We start from the raw sequence: 19,415 nt of genomic DNA, 5'->3' as shown, positions 1-19,415 counted from the left end.
AGGTGGTTCCGCGGAGGGAGGGCCTGGCCAGCCTGAGCTCAGCCAAAGGTCAGGATGCCGCCATCCTGGGCAGGGGGTTGCAGGCCGCTGACACCGGGGGATGATGGAGGACCCTTAGGTGTCCTGGCACTTCGCAGCTGAGCCTGGAAGCTGGGCCTGGCTGCCCTCCTGGACTCCCCCCAAGGGGGTCCGAAGTCCTGGCTCCCGTGTCCCTTGCTCCCGGTCCCTCAGGAGCGTGGGCTGAAGGCCTGGGTCCAGCTACCCACCATGGTGACCCCAGGGACCCGGTGCGCTCCGGGCATTCTGCCAGGCCTAAGGGCAGCACGAAGTGGTCAGAGGGCAGAGACCCTCATGAGGGGAGGCCGCGGCGGTTGAACCCCTTCGGCCTGAGGGAGCTCGGGGTGGGAGGCTCGGGTAGGGACACTGGGGAGCCCCCGGCCACAGCGCAAGGGCACCCGAGTCTCGGACCTGGCGAGGAGCCCGTGGGCTGGCTGGGTGTTGCCCCCACGCCACGACTCAGCCCGCACGTCCCCAGTTCCTGGGGCTCCCCGCCCTTCCTTGAGCCGCAAGCGGACCCCAGCCCGCCGAACCCTAGGCCCGGCCCGTCCCCAAGCCCCAAGCCCGGGACCCTAAAGCCCCGCCCTCCAATAAAGCCCCGCCCTCCCCGTAAAGCCCCGCCTCTGCCCCTAAGCCCCGCCCTCCCCGTAAGGCCCCCGCCTCTGCCCCCAAGCCCCGCCCTCCCCGTAAGGCCCCGCCCCGGCCCCCAAGCCCCGCCCCTAGGCCCCGCCCGCCCCGTCTGCCGGGCCATGGTGGCGCTGAAGGGTGTCCCCGCACTGCTGTCCCCCGAGCTGCTCTACGCGCTGGCGCGGATGGGGCACGGGGACGAGATCGGTGAGCGCAGCGGGCCGGGGCCTCGGGGAGCACCCCGGGACAGGCAGGAGGGCGAGGCTTGCACGGGGACCCCCGGGCCGGGAAGGGCCGCGTCCTGGGGTGTGGGCGTTGCTCGGGCCTCCCTGGCTTCCGGGCAGGAAGCCCCCTCCCCCGCATTCTTTAGGGAACTGAGACCTCGTGGGGCTCTGGGCGGAGCCGGCCCGAGCTTCTCCCGGAGTCCCTCCCCAGACGGCCCGAGAGCCCTCGCGTCTGGGCTGCCCCCGAGGGTTCGGCGCTTTTTCTTCTCCTGGGGCCTGGGGTCCCGGGGCAGGGGTTGGGTGGCCGGGGGCCTGGTCCGGGCATCGCGGGCAGCCGCGCGTCCTCTGGCCCCTGGGGAGGCGGCCGGGTCCGGGTCGGCCCCCTGGCCTGGTCAGCACCCGACAGCCTCGCGGGCAGCTGTTGACGCCTCTCTGCCTCCCAGGCAGGGACCTTGCCCTCCCCACCTCCCCGCGTGGCTTCCAGCCCTGCGGATCTGACTGCGGCCGGTCGGCGGTGGGGGCGCCCAACTGGCTGACCTGAGACCTCTTGTGACCCACGATCTGCCGCCATGACTGGGTGGGAGGACGGGCGGCGCCGACCCCGAGGGCAGGGATAGGTGCCGACACGGGCTGTCCTCCCGGCTGTTTAGTTCTTGCGGACTTGAACTTCCCGGCCTCCTCCATCTGCCAGTGTGGGCCCATGGAGATCCGTGCAGACGGTGAGCGAGCCCCAGGTCCCCCAGGGCAGGGCGGGCGGGTGAGCGGTGCTCCTGGCTCTGAGGCTCCTCTGTGGCCTGCCGTGGCCCCAAGTCCATGCTTGCAGTGTGAAGGGTGCAGACAGGCAGGCGGGCGGGCGGGCTGGAGACTGAGTGCTGCCTCCTCTGCCCTCCAGGCCTGGGCATCCCGCAGCTCCTGGAGGCCGTGCTGAAGCTGCTGCCCCTGGACACCTATGTGGAGAGTCCGGTGAGGGCTGAGTCGCCCCTGCACCCTGCTGCTCCGTGCCTCAGTTTCCCCTTTTGCGGGCTTCATAGGGCCCACCTGCCTTGGAGTGGGGGGAAGCCATGTGTCCCCAAAGGGGCCCTGACCCTCACCAGGGGAGTCCCGAATGGTCACCTGACCAGGAAGGCTGGCAGTGCCCAGGGCCCCAGAGCTGACCCCTCCCTCTAGGCTGCAGTCATGGAGCTGGTGCCCAGCGACAAGGAGAGGGGCCTGCAGACCCCAGTGTGGACGGAGTACGAGTCCATCCTACGCAGGGCCGGCTGTGTGGTAAGCCTGCAGCCCCAGTTGTGGGGAAAAGGCCAGGGACCCTCTGTCTCCTGGAGGCTCAGGAGGAGCCAAAGACAGAGGGTCCCAAGCTCTGTCCTCAAGTGGTCTCCCACCCATCACCCTGAGAACCCCGGACCACTGGCACTCCTTCACCAGCCAGGTGGAAGAGGTGCACCTGGGCAGTGTGGCCCCTCTTCCTCTGCCCCCGAGCTTTCCACCTGCCCTGCCCCGCCCAGGATCCTGACCTGCCAGGTGGGTTGTCACCCACCACAGCCTGTGAGTGGAGCCTGGGGGACTCAGGATGCCTGGCCTCCACCTCCTCAATCTCCCCTGGAGGGGTGCCCCCTGGTCCCAGGTCTCTCGCCCCATCCTGGCTATGGTTGGTCAGAGGCTTAGCTGGGTGCTGTGTCTCACTCAGCCCTCTCCACACCTTGCCCTGCAAGGGGACAGGCCCATTTTCCTGGGCAACCCACTGGCAGGTCTTGAGCAGGGCCTCCATAAGGGGGGCCAGGGGCTCTTGTCCTGGGCAGGGGACTCCCCCCAGGACAGCTGGCAGGGGCTCGACAGTCTACTGAGCTGTCTGGGTGGCCCCAGGTCAGGCAGAGACCCAAGCATGGCAGGTTCCTCGTCCACCATGTCCTGGGACCCCCTGTCCTAGGCCTTGGGAGCCAGAGGCTGAGTGACCGTGGGGCCCTTGCCGGGGGAGAGCCCAAGAAATGGAACCCCACTTCCTGGTGCCCTCCCTGCTTTGGGCCCTGGGGAGTCCAGGGCTGGCCCATGAGGGTTTCTTGGCAGGGTTCCCTCCAACCCTGCCATTTTGTCTTCCAGAGAGCCCTGGCAAAGATAGAGAGGTTTGAGTTTTATGAACGGGCTAAGAAGGCTTTTGCTGTTGTGGCAACGGGGTGAGTTCCAGCTGGCTCAGACCTGCCCCATCCCCACTGGGGCCTCAGGAGCTGCCCCCATCCCCACCGGGGGGCCTCAGGAGCTGCCCCTACCCTCTTCTCAGCTTCTGCCTGGCTGAGGCTAGACGTCCCACAGAGTGGAGAGACCAGGGAGGAATTTCGGGGGGGCAGGGCCCCCATTTGCCTGAGCATCAAGTGGGTGAAGGTGGACAGGGTCTGCTCTGTCCCCCAGATGCTGAAGCAGGGTCTCGGCACCCTGGCCCTGCAGCCCAGCTCAGTGCTGGGCTTGGCTCCTCTGCAGGGAGACGGCCCTCTACGGAAACCTCATCCTCAGGAAGGGGGTGCTTGCCCTCAACCCCCTGCTGTAGGCCTGGTGAAGACCACCTGGGCCGGAAGAGGAACTGGGGGCACCCTGAGCTCCAGTACCACCACTCACAACAGGCCTCCCAGTGGCAGCTCCCAGACCTGGGCCCTGGCCAGGGCTCTAGGGGCCGGCAGTCTTGGGGTGGGCCCTGCCAATTGGGACGAGTATCCCTGATTTGTGAAAATGATGGAAAAACGTTCAGTCTCAAGAGTCCAATTCCAGCTCTGTTCTCACGCAGGCTTGTTTGGTGCTGAGCTCAAGGGAGGCTGCTGGCTCCAGAGTGGCCCCCACGTACCCTTGACGAACCTTGAGTGGGAAATCAGGCCTGGGGCCCTGGGGACTGGGCGGGGTGCCTGGTGCCCTGGGGACACCAAGGGCTGGAGTGGGGGCAGTGGCTGCCCTGGAGGCCTTGAGAGGGGTGGGGACTTCTGCCATAGCCCCTGGGCTGTGGACACCAAGGGGGTTCTTCACCGGGGTCCATTCCTTCCACCCGCAGGAGGGCAGGTGGCAGGGGCTGGCCTGGACGCTTCGGGAGGAACTGTCGGCTGGAGAGGCCTCGGTGTGGGCCATGCCCTATGCCTGTGGCATAGGTGGCCTCCCGCTGAAAGCCTCACTTGCCCTGGCAGGCAGGGGAGGTAAAGGACACGAGGTCATTTGGAGTCCAGTGCCAGGCAGAGGTGGGATGCAGGGGGTTCCTGAAAGGGGGTGCCTGGGAGGCTTGCCCATGGGATGCTTGGACTGGTCCCCAAGGATGGGGAAGAATAACCACCAGCCACTGTCCGGACCCTCGTCTTGCTCCCCAGAACTTGCTGCAGTGACAGGTACAGGAAGAAGATGGGGCAGGGCTGGAGTTTGAGGGACCAAGGGCAGGAGTGGGGATGACAGGGGCTTCCCCCAGGGCCTGGGGCTGGTGTCCCCGGGGCTCGAGGGGGCAAGTCCCAGGGTTCCAGACCCCCACTCCAGACCGCAGGAGAACCTTGGGGGTGCAGGCAAGCCCACCCCGGCTGAGATGTGGCTCCAAATCTGGGGAAGGGACCCTGTCTGGGCTTGGCTGCAGACTTTGGGGTCCTGTCCGCCTGCTGCTCCCAGATGGTAGCCAAGGCTTTCTCTGTGCTCACTAGTGGTCAGCCTTGGCCCCAGGGGCCTCGCACTTGCCTGGCCAATCACTGCTCATCTCTAGACCCGATGGCCGCGTCGTGGCCTAACATCAGCGGTGTACGAGCTGGTTGCACACACCCTCGCCCATCCCCAGGCTCAGCCCCACAGATGAGCCTCTGGGGTTAGTGTGCCCTCTCTAGCATGTTATATAAATGAAGCCATATATGAGCAAACTAAGTAAAATCACGAGAAAAAACAAAGTAATGGGCAAAACAAAATAAAATCAAGATAGCTTTAAAAAAAAAAAAAAAGCCACAAACACCAGCTTGGGCTGCCTAGGGCAAGACCCTCCTGCAACTCAGAGATCCAGGGTCTTCTACCTGCCTGGGGCTCAGGGAGTGGGGAAGGAGTTGCCCAAATCTCAGCCCTGAGCGTGTTGATCCCTCAATGCCCTCCTACCCCATGTTCTTATCAGGATGACAGGGGAGGCTGCCAAGGGAGAAGCTGGCAGCCCATCTCTGGCCCTTTTAGGACAGAACCTCAAAGGTCACTGGCCTCTCCAGCTCATCCATAAGCCAGGGTAACAGCTCTTACATTGTGGGACACCGTGGGGCACCCTTGGGCAGTTACTCTCAGCCGTTGGTGTCCTGGGAGAGCGGGGATTTGCTGGCGGTGCAAGGAGCTCTTCCACACCTGGGCAAACCCTCAGCCCCCTGAGTGGCCACACGAGGGCTGAACACGGCAGGATGAGGGACGGGTGGCCTCTCTCCCTTGCTCCGTTCTGTCTTAGCTGCTGGAGCTGGCAAATGTGTGTGGCTCAGCCCCGGGCTTGGCACCAGGTGCTTCTCTCTCACCATAGGGATGAGACTGCCACGCAGGAACCCCGCCCACATTTGCATGTGCCCAGGACACATGCGGTGTGTGAGTGACTCCAGCAGCCTGGACCTGCGCTGCAGCATTGGGCCTGCTGGGCCAGGAGGACAGGATGGGCACCCAGAGTGGGAGCTGCACAGAACGTCAGGAGGGCAGAAAGGCCATGTCCTGGGCCTGGGTCTACCCGCCCTCACCTGAGACCTGTGCACTTTCCACCTGAGCACATGCACGTCCGTTCAGCTGGGCCCTGAGCCCCAGGCACTCGGCCACCCTCCTCCCCGACCCTGTCTCAGGCTCCTGCTGTAGGGAGCCCAGGGTGGGTTCTGTTTCTCAGCTGAGACTGGTCCCAGGGTGCCCTCTGGTCCCATCCCCTAACTGCTGCCACACCCCTCACCATCCCGGTATACAAGGAGGAGGGCCTGGGGGTAGTGCAACCTTCTGGGAGCCAAGGGTCACCTGGGCCTTGTGCAGCCCTTGATTCTCCTAGGCAGGGCAGGCTGGGCCCCGGTCATCGGTCTTCTGGGGCATGTGGCCTCCCACCTGTTTGCAGGGGTTGATTGATTGATTGATTGATCGATTGAGATGGAGTCTTGCTCTGTCGCCCAGCCTGGAGTGCAATGGCACGATCTCAGCTCAATGCAACCTCCGCCTCCCAGATTCAAGCGATTCTCCTGCCTCAGCCTCTCAAGTAGCTGGGATTACAGGCACCCGGCACCATACCCGGCTAATTTTTGTATTTTTAGTAGAGACGGGGTTTCACCATGTTGCCCAGGCTGGTCTGGAACTCCTGATTTCAGGTGATCCGCCTGCCTCGGCCTCTAAAAGTGCTGGGATTACAGAGGTGAGCCACCGCGCCCGGCCTGCTGGGGTTTATTTGTCTAGCTGGGGCAGGGTAGGGAGGGTCCCAGTCCCAACAGCCTGGGCCTTGGGACAGGGCGGGGGCAGTGATGGCCCCTGGAGCCCTACTGGGGGTGGTAGATGTGGTCTTGGTCTTCCTCCGGTCCCAGGAGCACCTGGTGATTTGGCATCACCCACAACCGGGGCCTCTCCTCGCCCTGGTCCTCCTCAGGCGGAGGGTGGTACAGGCTGTCATGGTCGGGCTCGGGACTCAGGACATGGCCCAGGGTGTCCTCGGTCTCCATCCAGGCCTTGGTGCCTAGGGACAAGCACATGAAGGTATAGTCTCAGTTTCTTTCCCGAGACCCTTGGTCTGTCCAAGTCAACCCCACGAGCGGACTCTGCTGCTGTGACCTTGTGCCCACCTGGAAGGATGGGGCCCCTGCCCTGACCTCGTGGCTTCTCCTCGGTGGTCAAGAGTTTCGGCTTCTGGACAGGGAACAGCACCACCAGCTGGTCGTCCTTCTCCGGAGGCTCCACCACACGGGCGCCCCAGGCCCTGCTGGCACAGTTTGGTCAGGTCCACATGCAGGTGGGGGAGGTGGACAGAACCCCCCGCAGGAGGGTGCCCACCATCCCAGGGCAGCCACTCCAGCCCCACCACCAGCAGCCCCAGGACAAGCCTCTCTCTCAAGAGCCAGTGATGAGTGGCCCCCAGTGCTCCCGGCCAGGCTTCCACACCACGTCCCTGGGTGGCTGCGTGGGGAGCAGTGGTCAGAGCCTTGGTTGAGCAGTGTCCCAAGGGCAAGGATGTGGGGAACCTCAGGATCCAAGACTGAGCCGCCCCAGCTACAGCCACCAGCCGTGGAGCACAAGCTGCCCTGGAGGCTGTGGGGAAGCTGAGTAGGGAGACACCGTGGAGCCCCAAGCCCTCCGGCTGTGCTCTCTTCTCCCTGCATGGGGCGCTGTTGACAGATGCCCATGAGGCTGGAGTGCCCCCTCCTTCCAAAAGCTGCTGGACAGGGCTCCTCTCTGCATCTGCCCCGTGCTCTCCAGGTTCAGGAAGGGCCCAGCAGAACGGGCTGTAGCTTCAGGGAATGGGTGGTGGGGAGGTGGGGTTGGGGGGACTTACTTCTCTGGGTCCTGCTCTGAGGGCCAGTGTTTGACTTGCATCTTGATAGGGACCTGGGGGAGAGTCACAGGTGTGGGCTGGGCCACAGTCCACGCGGGTGGAGGACACCTGGGGAGAGGTTGCTCCGAGGCCCACCTGGGGCTGCATGGGGTGGAGGTGGCTGCAGGGGGTGGGGGCAGGGCCAGCTCAGCACAGCTCGAGCGTCTCTAGTGGGCAAGCCACTCTCGGGTGTTGGGATTGCAAGCCGGGATTGAGGTTGCCGGCCTGTGCCCAGATGACCAGCTGGCCTGGAATTCTGGCCGGGTCTGGGGCAGCACAGGACTGGGATGTAACCTGGCACCGTATCCCTGACCTAGCACTCCCAACCCTGGCCGTCAATGCACTGGCTGTTTTCTGCAGTGACTGGTTGGGTCTGTGTCTGCACCACCCCTTCCTGGCTGGTGCCGAGAGAACGCGGTCAGCCGCTCTGAGCCCAGCTAACCTTAGTTGTCAGCTGCTCTGAGCCCAGCCAACCTTAGTTGTCAGCTGCTCTGAGCCCAGCCATCCTCAGTGGGGCAAAGGACAGACAGGAGAGCAAAGCAGGTGACCCCAGGGGAGGACCAGTGGCTCCAGGGGAGGACCAGCACCGTGGGGGGGCTGTGCCCATGCTCCTGCGTCTCCAGTCAAGGAAGGCGTGGGCCTCCTTCCTCCCGATCCATCCCAGGTGTGCAAGACTGTGTGGCCTTGACATGGGCCAGGGAACAGGGCCCGTCCCCAGGCATAGTCCCGGCTGAGGACACCACTGTCAGCACAGACAGTGCAGCTGAGCCACTAGCACATGGAGTCACCTCTGGCCTTCAAGGCCCAGGTGAGTATCAAGGGGTGTCATCCGGGCCCTCCTCCACCTGGGTCACATGGGTTCATCTGGGATCACCTGTTCCACTTGGGACCACGTGGGTGTCATCCGGGCCCACCTCCTCCACCTGGGGTCACGGGGGCTCATCTGGACCCACCTCGTCCACCTGGGGTCATGTGGGCTCATCTGGACCCACATCATCCACCTAGGACCACCTGGGTGTCTTGAGGCCTGTCCATCTGACCCCAGGGAAGGGAAGCCTGCCCCCTCCTCATGCCTGCACAGGCATCAAGAGTCATGAGCGTACCCATGCCTCTCTCCCCTAAGCCAGCTTGGGGTTTGAAGCCAGAAGAGGGGCCCTTTGTCCACATCCCCTGCTGTAGGGGCAGAAGGTGACAACTGGAGTTGCTGCCCAGATGGGAGGGGCTCACACCTACCTTGGGTGCTGGGACTGCACCTGCCTCCCACAGCAGCACAACCACCAGGCTGGTGACCAGGAGGAGCCTGAGGGGGGGCCAGAGAGGGAAGTGTGAGGTAGGGGAAGGGGACGCCCTGAACTCCAGGCAGCACCCTGATGGGCAGCTGGGAGGCCTGGGCTGGGTTCCTCCTTGGGAGCGCAGGTAGTTTTACTGGACTGTGCTCACATGGGCCAAGACACGCAGGCACAGAACAGGGAGAAGCCCCAGGCCCACCTGCCTCCAGCCCCCCTCAGGCCAGAGCCCACAGCCCCAGCCCCAGACTCTGCTCCTCACAGTCTGGGCAGACCCCACTGTGGCAGGCACTGGTGGTTGGCTTGGAAACTCCAGAGGTTCTGCCATGCCTCTGTGCCGCCCTCCACGTGGGGACACACATGAACACACTTGCACATGGGTGTGGGTATGGGTGGGTATGGAGCAGCGAGGGCCCACAGCCCCACGCCCACAGAGCCCTGAGGCTGCACGCTGCTGCAGGCAGGGCACCTGCTGTGTCCCAGAGCTGCGGGGCCACGGCTGGGGGGCTCAGGGGTGAATGGCAGCACTATTAGGCAGGCAGGCAGGGTGTCAGGTCAGTTCGGACACGGGATGTGTGTGTTTGTGTATGTGGTGGGGGGTGTGCATATGTTGTCTGTGCATGTGTGTTTTGTGGGTGTGGACCATGTGCATGGTGGGTGTGCATGTATGCTGTGGGTGGTGTCGTGTTCGGGTGTGTGTGCACTGTGTGCTTCAGTGTGTGGTGCATGTGTATGTTGTGTGTGGTGCGGAGTGTGTGAGTTCGGGGGTGCGTGTGCTGTGTGTGTATGTTATGTGTGTTTGTGTGTGGTGGATGTGTGTGTATGTTGTGTGTGGTGTGGAGTGTGTGGGCTTGGGTGTGTGTGTGTGCTGTGTGTGCATGTATGTGTTGGATGTGTATGTATGTTGTGTGTGGGGTGGAGCGTAAGGGTTTGGGGGTGGGTGTGTGCTGTGTGCATGCGTGTGTGGTGTGTAGAGTGTGAGGGTTTGGGAGTGTGTCTGTGTGTGCGTGCGTGTGTGATGTGGTGCAGACTTGTCTCTTCAGGGCCCTGCGGGGGAGGCTTGCGTCTGTCAGGGTGGGGTGGTCTTGGGGTGGGGCGGGGCTCTGGGTCTGTACAGGGCTCAGCAGGGCTGCAGTCAAGGGTGTCTGGGGCAGGCGCAGTGGTTCACACCCATAATCCCAGCACTTTGGGAGGCTGAGGTGGGCAGATCACCTGAGGTCAGGAGTTTGAGACCAGCCTGGCCAACATGGCAAAACTCCGTCTCTACTAAAAATATGAAACTGCCTGGGCACGGTGACTCACGCCTGTAATCCCAGCACTTTGGGAGGCTGAGGCAACAGATCACTTGAGGTTAGGCATTCGAAACCAGCCTGGCCAATATGGTGAAAACTTGTCTCTACTAAAAATACAAAAAAAAAAAAAAAAAAATTAGCCAGGCGTGGTGGCAGGTGCCTGTAATCCCAGCTACTTGGGAGGCTGAGGCAGGAGAATCACTTGAACCTGGGAGGTGGAGGTTTCAATGAGCCAAGATGGCGCCACTGCAGTCCCTCCAGCCTGGGCGACAGAGCGAGACACTCTGTCTCAAAAAAAAAAAAACAAAACTTAGCTGGGGGTGGTGGCACACACCTGTAATCGCAGCTACTCCTGCTGAGGCAGAAGAATCAGTGTCTGGGACACCCTGCAGGCCTGGATTGCAGCTCCACAGGGACCTTTGCCCGTTCTCTGGGTGACTCAGCCATGGTGAGAGGTCAAAGGGCAGGGGGGATGCCCCGGACAGCCCGGGGCCGGGACCTGGTCTGGTCTGGTTCGGGGGCCCTGCTTCTCCTCAGGACCCCCAGCTGGTTCTGATGCTGGGCAGGGGCTCTTGTCTGGGCACTGGACCCCAATCCCACTGCCGTGCTGCCTGGGCCACCCCTGGTGCCCACCTCCCATGACACACAGCCTGGGGGCCTGGGATTCGGGTCACGGTAGCCCCTAGAAAGGTGGTCGGTGGTGACTGCCAAGCAGCCTGGCTGTGGGATCCCCGTGGGTCCCCTCTCCAGGCAAACGGCTCTGGGCACCAAAGGGTCCCCAAGCTACCCAGAAGCCACCTCTCTACAAGGGAGAAACACCAGGAGAGGAGGGGCAGGGAGGGCCCTGGCTTAGAGGAGGGGGAAGAGGAGGAGGGCACCTCCACAGGAGCGGGGAGAGGGGTCCCCCACACAAGGAGGGGGAAGACAGACACCCCCACAGAAGGAAGGCAGCCTCTGATTCCAGGGTCCAGCGGGAGCCCGGGTGCTTCCCTGAGCTCCAGATCACAGCTCCCAGGGTGACACCACCTCAGGGCAGCCCCTGGCTCCTGCGCCCCAGCCCCTCCCCTCCCCCAGCCCCCTTCCTTTTGGGCAGTCACAGGCCTGCTGGTTTCAGCCTGGCACCTCCCCTTTCCTTGTTCCGGGTGGGGGTCCCTGGGTGATTCTCCACCAGGCCAGGGGAACCAAGAGGCAAGTGCACTCGGGGCCACAGAGGAGGTAGAGCCTGGTGGCAGACCCCAGACCCTCAGAGGGCCCCTCCTTCTCCCTCCCACCCGCACACTCCCCTGAACCAGGCCCCCTGGAGCGCAGCACAGCTGGGCCCCCTCTGGCTAAGGGCCAGGCCTCCAGGTTTGGGTGGGGTGGGGATTGGGGCTCAGGGATGGTGGCATTACCTCCTCATGTCTGGGGTCCGCGTCTCTGTAGAGAGTGCTCAGGGAGCTGCAGTGGCTGATCCCAGTATCTGGCACCCGGCCCAGCTCCTCCTGCCCAGGCCCAGGCCAATTGGGGCTTTGTTGCTGCCGCTTGGGGCGTGTCAGGACAGAGGTCGGGGCCAGGGATCCCACCCTGGGTAGCTCAGGTGACTGGCTCTGCAGCCGCCCAGCCCACTCGGGCCTGGATCTGAGCGGGGACACCCAGCTGCCTGCTCAGGGCCTGCCACACGACTGAGGAAGAAATTTGCCTTTAAAAACATGCTTGTTGACCGGGCGCGGTGGCTCACACCTGTAATCCCAGCACTTTGGGAGGCTGAGGCAGGTGGATTGCCTGAAGTCAGGGGATTGAGACCAGCCTGGCCAACATAGTGAAACTCCGTCTCTACTAAAAATAAAAAAAATTAAGTGGGCGTGGTGGTGGGCTCCTGTCATTCCAGCTACTCAGGAGGCTGAGGCAGGAGAATTGCTTGAACCTGGGAGGCGGAGGTTGCAGTGAGCCGAGATTGCGCCACTGCAGTCCAGCCTGGGCAACAAAGAGCGAAACTCAGTCAAAAAACAAAACAAAACAAAACAACACCAAAAAAAAAAAACCTGCTTGTCATGAAGGCTGAACCGTGCTCACAACCAAGGCAACTTGGAAGGGTGTCGTGGGCAGCTGTCCCCAGCTCAGCTGAAGCACTTCCTTCCTCAGGTGGGCGTGACAAATCCCCCATCCAGCCCCAGCCCACCTGCCTGTCACACCTGCCCCTGCCCACCACCTGCGGCAGGGCGGGACCAGCTCAGCTCCACCACCGTGGAACCCTCACCCCCAACGCCACCACCTTCCCCACCCCTTCCAGGCGCTCCCTCCTGTCCTTCCTTACTGGGCACACCAGCCTGAGGAGTCTTGCACGCTGTGTGGCCAGGGCCCGCTCCACGGGGCCCAGTGCCCTCATTGCCTTTTTTATTTTATTTTTTTTGAGACAGTCTCACTCTGTCACCCAGGCTGGAGTGCAGTGGCGCGATCTCAGCTCACTGCAACCTCCGCCTCCTGGGTTCCAGTGATTCTCCCGCCTCAGCCTCCTGAGTAGATGGGACTACAGGTGTGCACCAACACGCCCAGCTAATTTTTGTATATTTAATAGAAACGAGGTTTCGCCATGTTGCCCAGGCTGGTCTCGAACTCCTGACCTAAGTGATCCGCCTGCCTCGGGCTCCCAAAGTGCTGGGATTACAGGCATGAGCCACTGCGCCCGGCCCTGACCACCTTCTTTAGCCGTCCCTGGCACACCCTGTAAAACAAAAACACAATTCCAATCTCCGCCTGACCCCACCCGACTGATGGACCCTCCCTAAGCCCAGGGCATTCCACGGTTAACCTGAAAACTAGTTCAGGCCATAATGGGAAGTGGGGGTCAGACAGGCCTCATTGTACCCGCCTCCTTTTGGAATTCAGGCAAAACTGACCAGCATTAACATTAAAACAGAGACCTTAAGACTAATAGAACAGACTCTGACAAGAAATAGTCCCTTTTATTGATTCTATCTGCATATACTTGGTCTCCACAACACCTTATCTTAACCCTGACTTTCCCTTCTATTGATTCTAGGTCTTTAGATAATAACTTAACTCTTTTGACCAATTGTCAATTGGAAAATTACTGAATCCACCAATGACCTGGACACCCGCCGCCTTTCTGGACCAAACCCATGTACATCTCCCACGTACTGAGTGATGTCTCGTGTCCCGAACATGTATCAAACCAGCTGCACCCCAACCCTCTCGGGCCACACATGTTCTCAGGATCTCCTGGGACGGCATCATGGGCCTTCCGTCACTCATATTTGGCTCAGAATCACTCTCCAAGTATTTTACAGGGTTTCACTCTTTTCCTCGACAACCCCCAGCGGGCAGCTACTGTTGGGGGCTCTGAGACCGCCGGCCTGCAGGGTATGGTTCTCCCGAAGCTGCATGTTCAGACACAATTGGAGGCCGTGCTTCCAAGGGGGTGGAGTGAGGGCCCTCAAGAAAGGCCAACTCAGGAATTTCCAACGTGACCCACAGCGTCTGAGCTATTGAGGAGGGGTCACCCGAAGAAGCCGCTGGGCTTGGGTGAGAACAGATGTTCCTCTGGCCTTCTTGCCTGGGGCTGCTCCTGAAACCACCTTTGCGAAAACCTGATAGTGAATCTGACCTAACCGACTCCACCTTGCTTCTAACCTCCAACCTGTCCTTGTTCATTCCTGGGTGTAGGTCACACCAACTTTGGGAGGATCTTAGTTTATAGTTTAATGTTGAAACAAAGATGAAAACAGCCCCTTCCTGAACAAACCCCCTTCTTGCCTGGGGACCAGACTGCCTTTGTAAAACTAACAAATTAGTCACAAGATTAGAAATTATGGTTTAGGAAACTTCTAGTGGCTTGAGGTATCGGCCGGAGCGGCCGGGTGGCGGGAGGAACCGTTACGGGAACTGAAGTTGCCGATTAAGCCTGATCAAGATGCCAACCTCCCAAAAGCACCGAGACTTCAGGGCAGAGCCCATGGGGGAAAAGCTAGTGGGGAGCCTGGCCAGGATTGGTGAAGTCCTGGGCAAGAAGCTGGAGGAAAGGGGCTTTGACAAGGCCTATGTTGTCCTTGGCCAGTTTCTGGTGCTGAGGAAAGATGAAGACCTGTTCCGGGAATGGCCAAAGGACTCGTGGTGCCAACACCAAGCAGTCCCGGGACTTCGGATGCCTTCGAGAGCATGCGATGCCTTCTTGTGATGCTCTCCAGGAAGCTCTCAATCCCCAGCCCTCACCCAGAGTTTGTAGCCGAGTCGGGACTCCTCCCCTGTCCTCTACAAAGGAGAAGATTGCTATTGTCATACTCACGTCTGACGCACTCTGGGTCTTTTGGGAGTTTTCTCCCCTAACCATTTCAACTTTTTTGGACTCTCACTCTTGCATGTCTCCCCCTTCCTTTTTCACTTTCCCTGGTGACAGTTACCAGCTTTCCTGAATGGATTCCTGGCCCCGTCCCTCACCTCCACCCTCACTTTCAGTCCATTTGATACTATTTGGCTCCTTTTTTGGCAGAACAGTCACTGTCCTTGTAAAGTTTTTTAGATCAAGAAAGTCAGTGGCTTTCATGAAAAATAAAAAAGAAATTATGTTTTAGGTGTCAGGCAGGACCGGGCGCGGTGGCTCACGCCTGTAATCCCAGCACTTTGGGAGGCCGAGGCAGGCGGATCACGAGGTCAGGAGATCAAGACCATCCTGGCTAACATGGTGAAACCCCGTCTCTACTAAAAATACAAAAAATTAGCCGGACGTGGTTGCAGGCGCCTGTAGTCCCAGCTATTCGGGAGGCTGAGGCAGGAGAATGGCCTGAACCTGGGAGGCGGAGCTTGCAGTGAGCAGAGATCACGCCATTGCACTCCAGCCTGGGTGACAGAGCGAGACTCCGTCTCAAAAAAAAAAAAAAAAAAAAAAAAAGGAGTCAGGCAGCTGGAGGCCACAAGATTCTAAGCCTCCCCAATTATTCTTAGGGAAAACATCACTATTGTAAATCCTAAGATTGGTGCTCGAGACATTTTTCGGACTCTGAACTTGGTGGAACAGCTGGTGCCACCCAGATCCATGAACTGGCTCACCTGGTCTTGTGGCCCCCACTCAGGAAGTGACTCAGCACAAGAGGACAGATTCGACTCCCTGTGATTTCATCTGCAACCCAACCGATCAGCACTCCCTGCTTCCCAACCCCTACCCACCAAATTATCCTTTAAAATTTGAGTAGTGATAAAGCTCCAGCCTCCCGTTCAGCCGGCTCCGCGTGAATTAAACTTTCCGTGTTGCAGTTTCTCTCTGCCCTGATAAATCGGCTCTCTCTGGGCAGCAAGCAGAATGAGCCTGTTGGGCAGCTACACTCCCACCCACCCCTCAGTGGCCGAGTGGCTCCACGGGGGAGGCAGCAGAAGGCCAGTGGCTCAGGGAACTGGGGTCCCCAAGGGGATTATGAGCAGTGATTGGCAGGCCAGCCCGAACTTGAATGGGGTGATCAGGTCTGGAATGAGAAAGGCACAGGGAGCCTCCCCAGGTTCCCACACAGTCCCAGCTGACCTCCCCATTCCTCTGGCCCAACACAAGTCTGTGCATTCACACTCAGGAGACGGGAGACAGCCGGTGGGAAGTAAAGGTCGGGCACCTTAAAAACTGCATCCACACAGAGCGTGGCCCCCAGCCCACCCTTGAGGCACCAGCAGAGTGGGTCCCGCGGCCTGAGCACAGCCTCCAACCACACAACCCAGTGTGACTCAAGGAAGATAGGCTTAAAAAACTGGGCGGAGACACCAGGCCACGTGCTACAGGGGAAACAAAGTCCACAGATTTCAACAAAACAGCAACAACAACCCTTGGGAGAAAATATCAGAACTCAAAATGTTTGCAATATATTATCTAAAACATCTAGTCTTTAGTAAAATGAGACGAGGTCCCCAGGCTCGTCTCGAACTCCTGGGCTCAAGCAATCCTCCCACTCAGGCCTCCCAAAGTGCTGGGACCACAGGCATGAGCCACTGTGACTAGCCTGTTGTATATTTTAAATTAACAAAAAAGAGTGGAATTAGAATGTTAGCACAAAGAAATGATACAATCTTGGGGTTATGGATACCCCAATTATCCTGGTTTGATCATTACATATGGCATCCGTGTACCCCATGGATATATATACCTATTATGTACCCATAATAATTAAAACTTTTTAAAAATTAAAAATAAAGGGCCAGGTGCAGTGGCTCACGCCTGTAATTCCAGCGCTTTGGGAAGCCGAGGCGGGAGGATCACTCGCGGTCAGGAGTTCGAGACCACCCTGGCCAAAATAGCGAAACCCCGTTTCTACTAAGAATACAAAAATTGGCTGGGTGTGGTGGCAGGCGCCTATAGTCCCAGCTACTAGGGAGGCTGAGGCAGGAGAATCGCTTGAACCCGGGAGGCGGAGGTTGCAGTGAGATGAGACTGCACCACTGCACTCCAGCCTGGTTGACAGAGTGAGACTCCATCTCAAAAAAATAATAATAAAACTAAAAAAAAGAAAGAAAAGGACTTATACCCAGAATATAAAAAGAACTCTTACAACTCAACAATAAAAAGACAAACAACCCAACTGAAAAATATTCAAAACATTTGCACAGACATTTCACCATAGATGATTTACAAATGGTGACTCCACCCTGAGAAGATGTTCAGCACCACTTGTCACTAGGGCGACGTGGACTCAAGCCACAGCTACACTCCTATAGGACGGTGTTATGGGCTGTGTCCCCTCTAAATTCATACATTGATGTCCTAACCCCTCAGAATATGACGATATTTGGAGATGGGTTTTTAAAGATGTAAGTAAGGTAAAGCAAGGTTATTAGGGTGGACCCTAATTCAACAGGACTGGTGTCCTTATAAGAAGAGATGAGAACACACAGATACGCCAAAGGGAAGACCATGTAAGGACACGGGGAGGTGTGGCCACCCACAAACCCAGGGAGCAGCCTCAGGAGGAGCCAACCCTGCCAACAGCTCCAACCCTGCCGACAGCTCCGTCTCAGACGTCAGCCTCCATCGCTGTGAGAACATGAATTTCCATTGTTGAAGCTGCCCAGTCTCTGGCAATTTGTTATGGCAGCCTCAGCTAAGACAGATGGCTAGTATAAAAAAGACAAAATCAAGGATCAAGAGTTGGTTGCTGGGCACGGTGGCTCACGCCTGTCATCCCAGCACTTTAGGAGGCCGAGGCGGGTTGAGACCATCCTGGCCAACATGGTGAAACCCCATCTTTACTAAAAATACAAAAATTAGCCAGGCGTGGTGGCATGAGCCTATAGTCCCAGCTACTTGGGTGCCTGAGGCAGGAGAATCGTTTGAACCCGGGAGGTGGAGGTTGCAATGAGCCAAGATCGTGCCACTGTACTCCAGCCTGGCCAGAGGGAGACTGTCTCAAAAAAAAAAAAAAATCAAGAGGTGGTGAGGATGTGGAGAAACTGGAACCCTCCTATACTGCTGGTGGGAATGTCACATGGTACGGCCACTTTGGAAAAACACATTTTAGCATTTTCTTTCAAAGTTAAATGTCAACTTTCCATCAAATTTGGCAATTCCACTCTTCAGTAACTACCCAAGAGAAAGAAAAGCACACGTCCACCAAGGTTGTGATAAGAATGTTCACCACAACATTATAAACAGCTGACAAACTGGAAACAGTTCATACGGATGAATGGATGAAACCTGGAGAATCCATGGGTTAACAGCAATAATGGCCGGGCGTGGTGGCTCACGCCTGTAATCACAGCACTTTGGGAGGCCAAGGCAGGCGGATCACCTGAGGTCAGGAGTTTGAGACCAGCCTGGCCAATATGGTGAAACCCTGTCTCTACTAAAAATACAAAAATTAGCTAGGCGTGGTGGCACACGCCTATAATCTCAGCTACTCAGGAGGCTCAGGCAGGAGAATCGCTTGAACCCCGGAGGCAGAGGTTGCGGTGAGCCGAGAACGTTCCATTGCCCTCCAGCCTGGGCAACAAGAGCAAAACTCCTCTTAAAAAAACAAAACTAAACTAAAACAAAACAGGTCGGGCGCAGTGGCTCACGCCTGTAATCTCAGCACTTTGGGAGGCCGAGGCAGGCGGATCACGAGGTCAGGAGATCGAGACCATCCTGGCTAACATGGTGAAACCCCGTCTCTACTAAAAATACAAAAAATAATTTAGCCGGGCTTGGTGGCGGGCGCCTGTAGTCCCAGCTACTCGGGAGGCTGAGGCAGGAGAATGGCTCGAACCCGGGAGGCAGGGCTTGCAGTGAGCCAAGATTGCGCCACTGCCCTCCAGCCTGGGCGACAGACCGAGACTCCGTCTCAAAAAAACAAAACAAAACAAAACAAAAAGACAGTAGTAACAACGGGTTACCGTTCAGCGTGGATGAAACGCGGCATGTCCATGAGTTAACAGCGGGAACAATGGGTTACGGTTTAGCAATGAAAACGAAGGCATCACCAACGCATGCTCCTGTCATTGCTGACCACCCACAGCTGGGAGCCGCACTCAGGCAAATGCCTATGGAGCGCCTTCTGTGTGCTGGGCACCATGCGGGCGCCAGGGCCATCCTCAGGGTGAGTGAGAGCCAAACCCAGCTGGGTCTGACCCAGCACAAAGGCGGAGGGGACGGGGGAGTCTGAGCATCCACCCAAGGTCCACCTGGAGACTCTGGGGGGGGCCCCAGACCAAGGAGCAGCCAGGGTTGAGCTGGCCAGGGCACCTGCCCCTGCACAGTGAGGCGGCGAGCGTGTGTGCGTGTGCGTGAGGGTGTGTATGTGTGAGATGTGTGTGTGTCACATGTGTATGTCAGGTGTGTGTGAGGTGTGCGTGAGGGCTGTCAGGTGTGTGAGGTAAGTGAAATGTTTGCGTGATGTGTGTCAGGTGTGAGAGGTGTTTTGAGTGTGTCAGGTGTCTGCTGGGGTGACAGGTGTGTCTGAGTCAGGTGTGTGTCAGGTGTGTGTGAGGAATGTGTGCCACCTGTGTGGGAGGGTGCATGGGGTGCATGTGTCAGGAGTGTGTGTGCCTGAGGTGTGTAGGGGTGTGTGTGCATCTGGGATATATGTGTGAGGGGTGTTTGGAGGTGTCTGGGGTGTGTGTCAAGGGTTTGTGTGTGGGGTTGTCAGTGTCTAGGGTGTGTGTCAAGAGTGGGTGGATCCAGGGTGTGTCTAGGGTGTATGTGTGAAGGGTGTGTGTGCAGGTCAGGGATACATGTGTCAGGTGTGCATGTGTGAAGTGTGTGTGAGTTGTATGTCAGGCGTGTGTGTCTGGAGTGTGTAAGGGATGTGTGTGTCGAGTATATGTCAGGCATGTGTGGCTGGTGTGTGCGTGAGGTGTGTGAGGGTGTATGTGCATGGGAGGTGCGTGTTTCGAGCATGTGTGTGTCTGGGGTGTGTGTGCCTGAGGTATGTGGAGTGTTTGTGTGAGGTGTGTGTGTTAGGTGTGTGAGGGT

At 58.8% G+C, this 19,415-nt stretch overlaps 3 protein-coding genes and 1 pseudogene across 18 annotated transcripts in view, besides 7 other annotated features; 2 read left to right on the top strand and 2 right to left on the bottom strand.

Annotated features, from left to right (window-relative positions):
• Positions 567–646: a silencer, noted in NCBI's record as "silent region_2976". NCBI's record gives its function as "represses an Ori minimal core promoter by ATAC-STARR-seq in GM12878 lymphoblastoid cells {active_cell/tissue: GM12878}" and the evidence as "EXISTENCE:reporter gene assay evidence [ECO:0000049][PMID:35858748]".
• Positions 697–1,316: a silencer, noted in NCBI's record as "silent region_2975". NCBI's record gives its function as "represses an Ori minimal core promoter by ATAC-STARR-seq in GM12878 lymphoblastoid cells {active_cell/tissue: GM12878}" and the evidence as "EXISTENCE:reporter gene assay evidence [ECO:0000049][PMID:35858748]".
• On the top strand, positions 795–6,041 carry FUOM (fucose mutarotase). Of its 15 annotated transcripts, none has more exons than XM_011539675.3 (6): positions 795–891; positions 1,559–1,627; positions 1,801–1,871; positions 2,076–2,174; positions 3,003–3,076; positions 3,679–6,041. In XM_011539675.3, the coding sequence occupies exons 1-6, from the start codon at positions 807–809 to the stop codon at positions 3,692–3,694; spliced, it is 414 nt and encodes a 137-aa protein (XP_011537977.1). In that variant the 5' UTR covers positions 795–806; the 3' UTR covers positions 3,695–6,041. The 15 variants fall into 15 exon arrangements, with proteins under 15 accessions (XP_011537977.1, XP_011537975.1, NP_001091953.1 ...); XM_011539673.3 differs by having other exon boundaries at positions 2,970–3,076; NM_001098483.3 differs by lacking the exon at positions 3,679–6,041 and adding an exon at positions 3,378–3,656.
• Positions 1,467–1,566: an enhancer, noted in NCBI's record as "active region_4247". NCBI's record gives its function as "activates an Ori minimal core promoter by ATAC-STARR-seq in GM12878 lymphoblastoid cells {active_cell/tissue: GM12878}" and the evidence as "EXISTENCE:reporter gene assay evidence [ECO:0000049][PMID:35858748]".
• Positions 2,044–2,778: an enhancer, noted in NCBI's record as "H3K4me1 hESC enhancer chr10:135169540-135170274 (GRCh37/hg19 assembly coordinates)". NCBI's record gives its function as "activates a minimal SCP1, AML or CMV promoter by ChIP-STARR-seq in naive H9 embryonic stem cells {active_cell/tissue: H9 hESC(naive)}" and the evidence as "EXISTENCE:reporter gene assay evidence [ECO:0000049][PMID:30033119]".
• Positions 6,042–6,130: 89 nt separating the features above from the next.
• On the bottom strand, positions 6,131–11,441 carry PRAP1 (proline rich acidic protein 1). 2 transcript variants are annotated; one of them, NM_145202.5, is made up of 5 exons: positions 11,389–11,441; positions 8,653–8,719; positions 7,381–7,433; positions 6,674–6,807; positions 6,131–6,567 (listed from the first exon to the last, which is right to left on the bottom strand). In NM_145202.5, exons 1-5 carry the CDS (start codon positions 11,394–11,396, stop codon positions 6,374–6,376), a joined length of 456 nt encoding a protein of 151 aa, NP_660203.3. In that variant the 5' UTR covers positions 11,397–11,441; the 3' UTR covers positions 6,131–6,373. The 2 variants fall into 2 exon arrangements, with proteins under 2 accessions (NP_660203.3, NP_001138673.1); NM_001145201.2 differs by having other exon boundaries at positions 6,701–6,807.
• ZNF511-PRAP1 (ZNF511-PRAP1 readthrough) overlaps positions 6,131–19,415 on the bottom strand; it is a 43,770-nt gene continuing 30,485 nt past the window's right edge. Inside the window, exons 6-9 of the mRNA NM_001396060.1 lie at positions 8,653–8,719; positions 7,381–7,433; positions 6,674–6,807; positions 6,131–6,567 (exon numbers count right to left, since the gene is read on the bottom strand). Of these exons, the coding sequence (NP_001382989.1) occupies positions 6,374–6,567; positions 6,674–6,807; positions 7,381–7,433; positions 8,653–8,719 (448 nt within the window). The 3' untranslated portion in view covers positions 6,131–6,373. The remainder of the gene's footprint in view (positions 6,568–6,673; positions 6,808–7,380; positions 7,434–8,652; positions 8,720–19,415) is intronic.
• Positions 10,096–10,755: an enhancer, noted in NCBI's record as "H3K4me1 hESC enhancer chr10:135161563-135162222 (GRCh37/hg19 assembly coordinates)". NCBI's record gives its function as "activates a minimal SCP1, AML or CMV promoter by ChIP-STARR-seq in primed H9 embryonic stem cells {active_cell/tissue: H9 hESC(primed)}" and the evidence as "EXISTENCE:reporter gene assay evidence [ECO:0000049][PMID:30033119]".
• Positions 10,756–11,415: an enhancer, noted in NCBI's record as "H3K27ac-H3K4me1 hESC enhancer chr10:135160903-135161562 (GRCh37/hg19 assembly coordinates)". NCBI's record gives its function as "activates a minimal SCP1, AML or CMV promoter by ChIP-STARR-seq in primed H9 embryonic stem cells {active_cell/tissue: H9 hESC(primed)}" and the evidence as "EXISTENCE:reporter gene assay evidence [ECO:0000049][PMID:30033119]".
• Positions 11,416–12,075: an enhancer, noted in NCBI's record as "H3K27ac-H3K4me1 hESC enhancer chr10:135160243-135160902 (GRCh37/hg19 assembly coordinates)". NCBI's record gives its function as "activates a minimal SCP1, AML or CMV promoter by ChIP-STARR-seq in primed H9 embryonic stem cells {active_cell/tissue: H9 hESC(primed)}" and the evidence as "EXISTENCE:reporter gene assay evidence [ECO:0000049][PMID:30033119]".
• BANF1P2 (BANF1 pseudogene 2) lies at positions 13,824–14,539 on the top strand (annotated as a pseudogene).

The sequence above is a fragment of the Homo sapiens genome, chromosome 10, assembly GCF_000001405.40.
Source record: "Homo sapiens chromosome 10, GRCh38.p14 Primary Assembly".
Taxonomy (NCBI): Eukaryota; Metazoa; Chordata; class Mammalia; order Primates; family Hominidae; genus Homo; species Homo sapiens.
The sequence above is the reverse complement of the archived record's forward strand: the minus strand, read 5'-3'. Positions and strand labels throughout refer to the sequence as shown.

What these genes read in the sequence shown, in the direction of transcription:
- FUOM (XM_011539670.3), top strand. Translation starts at nt 807, where the DNA reads ATGGTGGCGCTGAAGGGTGTCCCCGCACTGCTGTCCCCCGAGCTGCTC. An exon ending in GGGGCACGGGGACGAGATCG is followed by an intron (nt 892 to 1,558) that starts GTGAGCGCAGCG and finishes CCGGCTGTTTAG; the next exon opens with TTCTTGCGGACTTGAACTTC. An exon ending in ACACCTATGTGGAGAGTCCG is followed by an intron (nt 1,872 to 2,075) that starts GTGAGGGCTGAG and finishes CCCTCCCTCTAG; the next exon opens with GCTGCAGTCATGGAGCTGGT.
- PRAP1 (NM_145202.5), bottom strand. An exon ending in GTGCAGTCCCAGCACCCAAG is followed by an intron (nt 7,434 to 8,652) that starts GTAGGTGTGAGC and finishes ACTCTCCCCCAG; the next exon opens with GTCCCTATCAAGATGCAAGT. An exon ending in CAGGGGCCCCATCCTTCCAG is followed by an intron (nt 6,568 to 6,673) that starts GTGGGCACAAGG and finishes GCTTGTCCCTAG; the next exon opens with GCACCAAGGCCTGGATGGAG.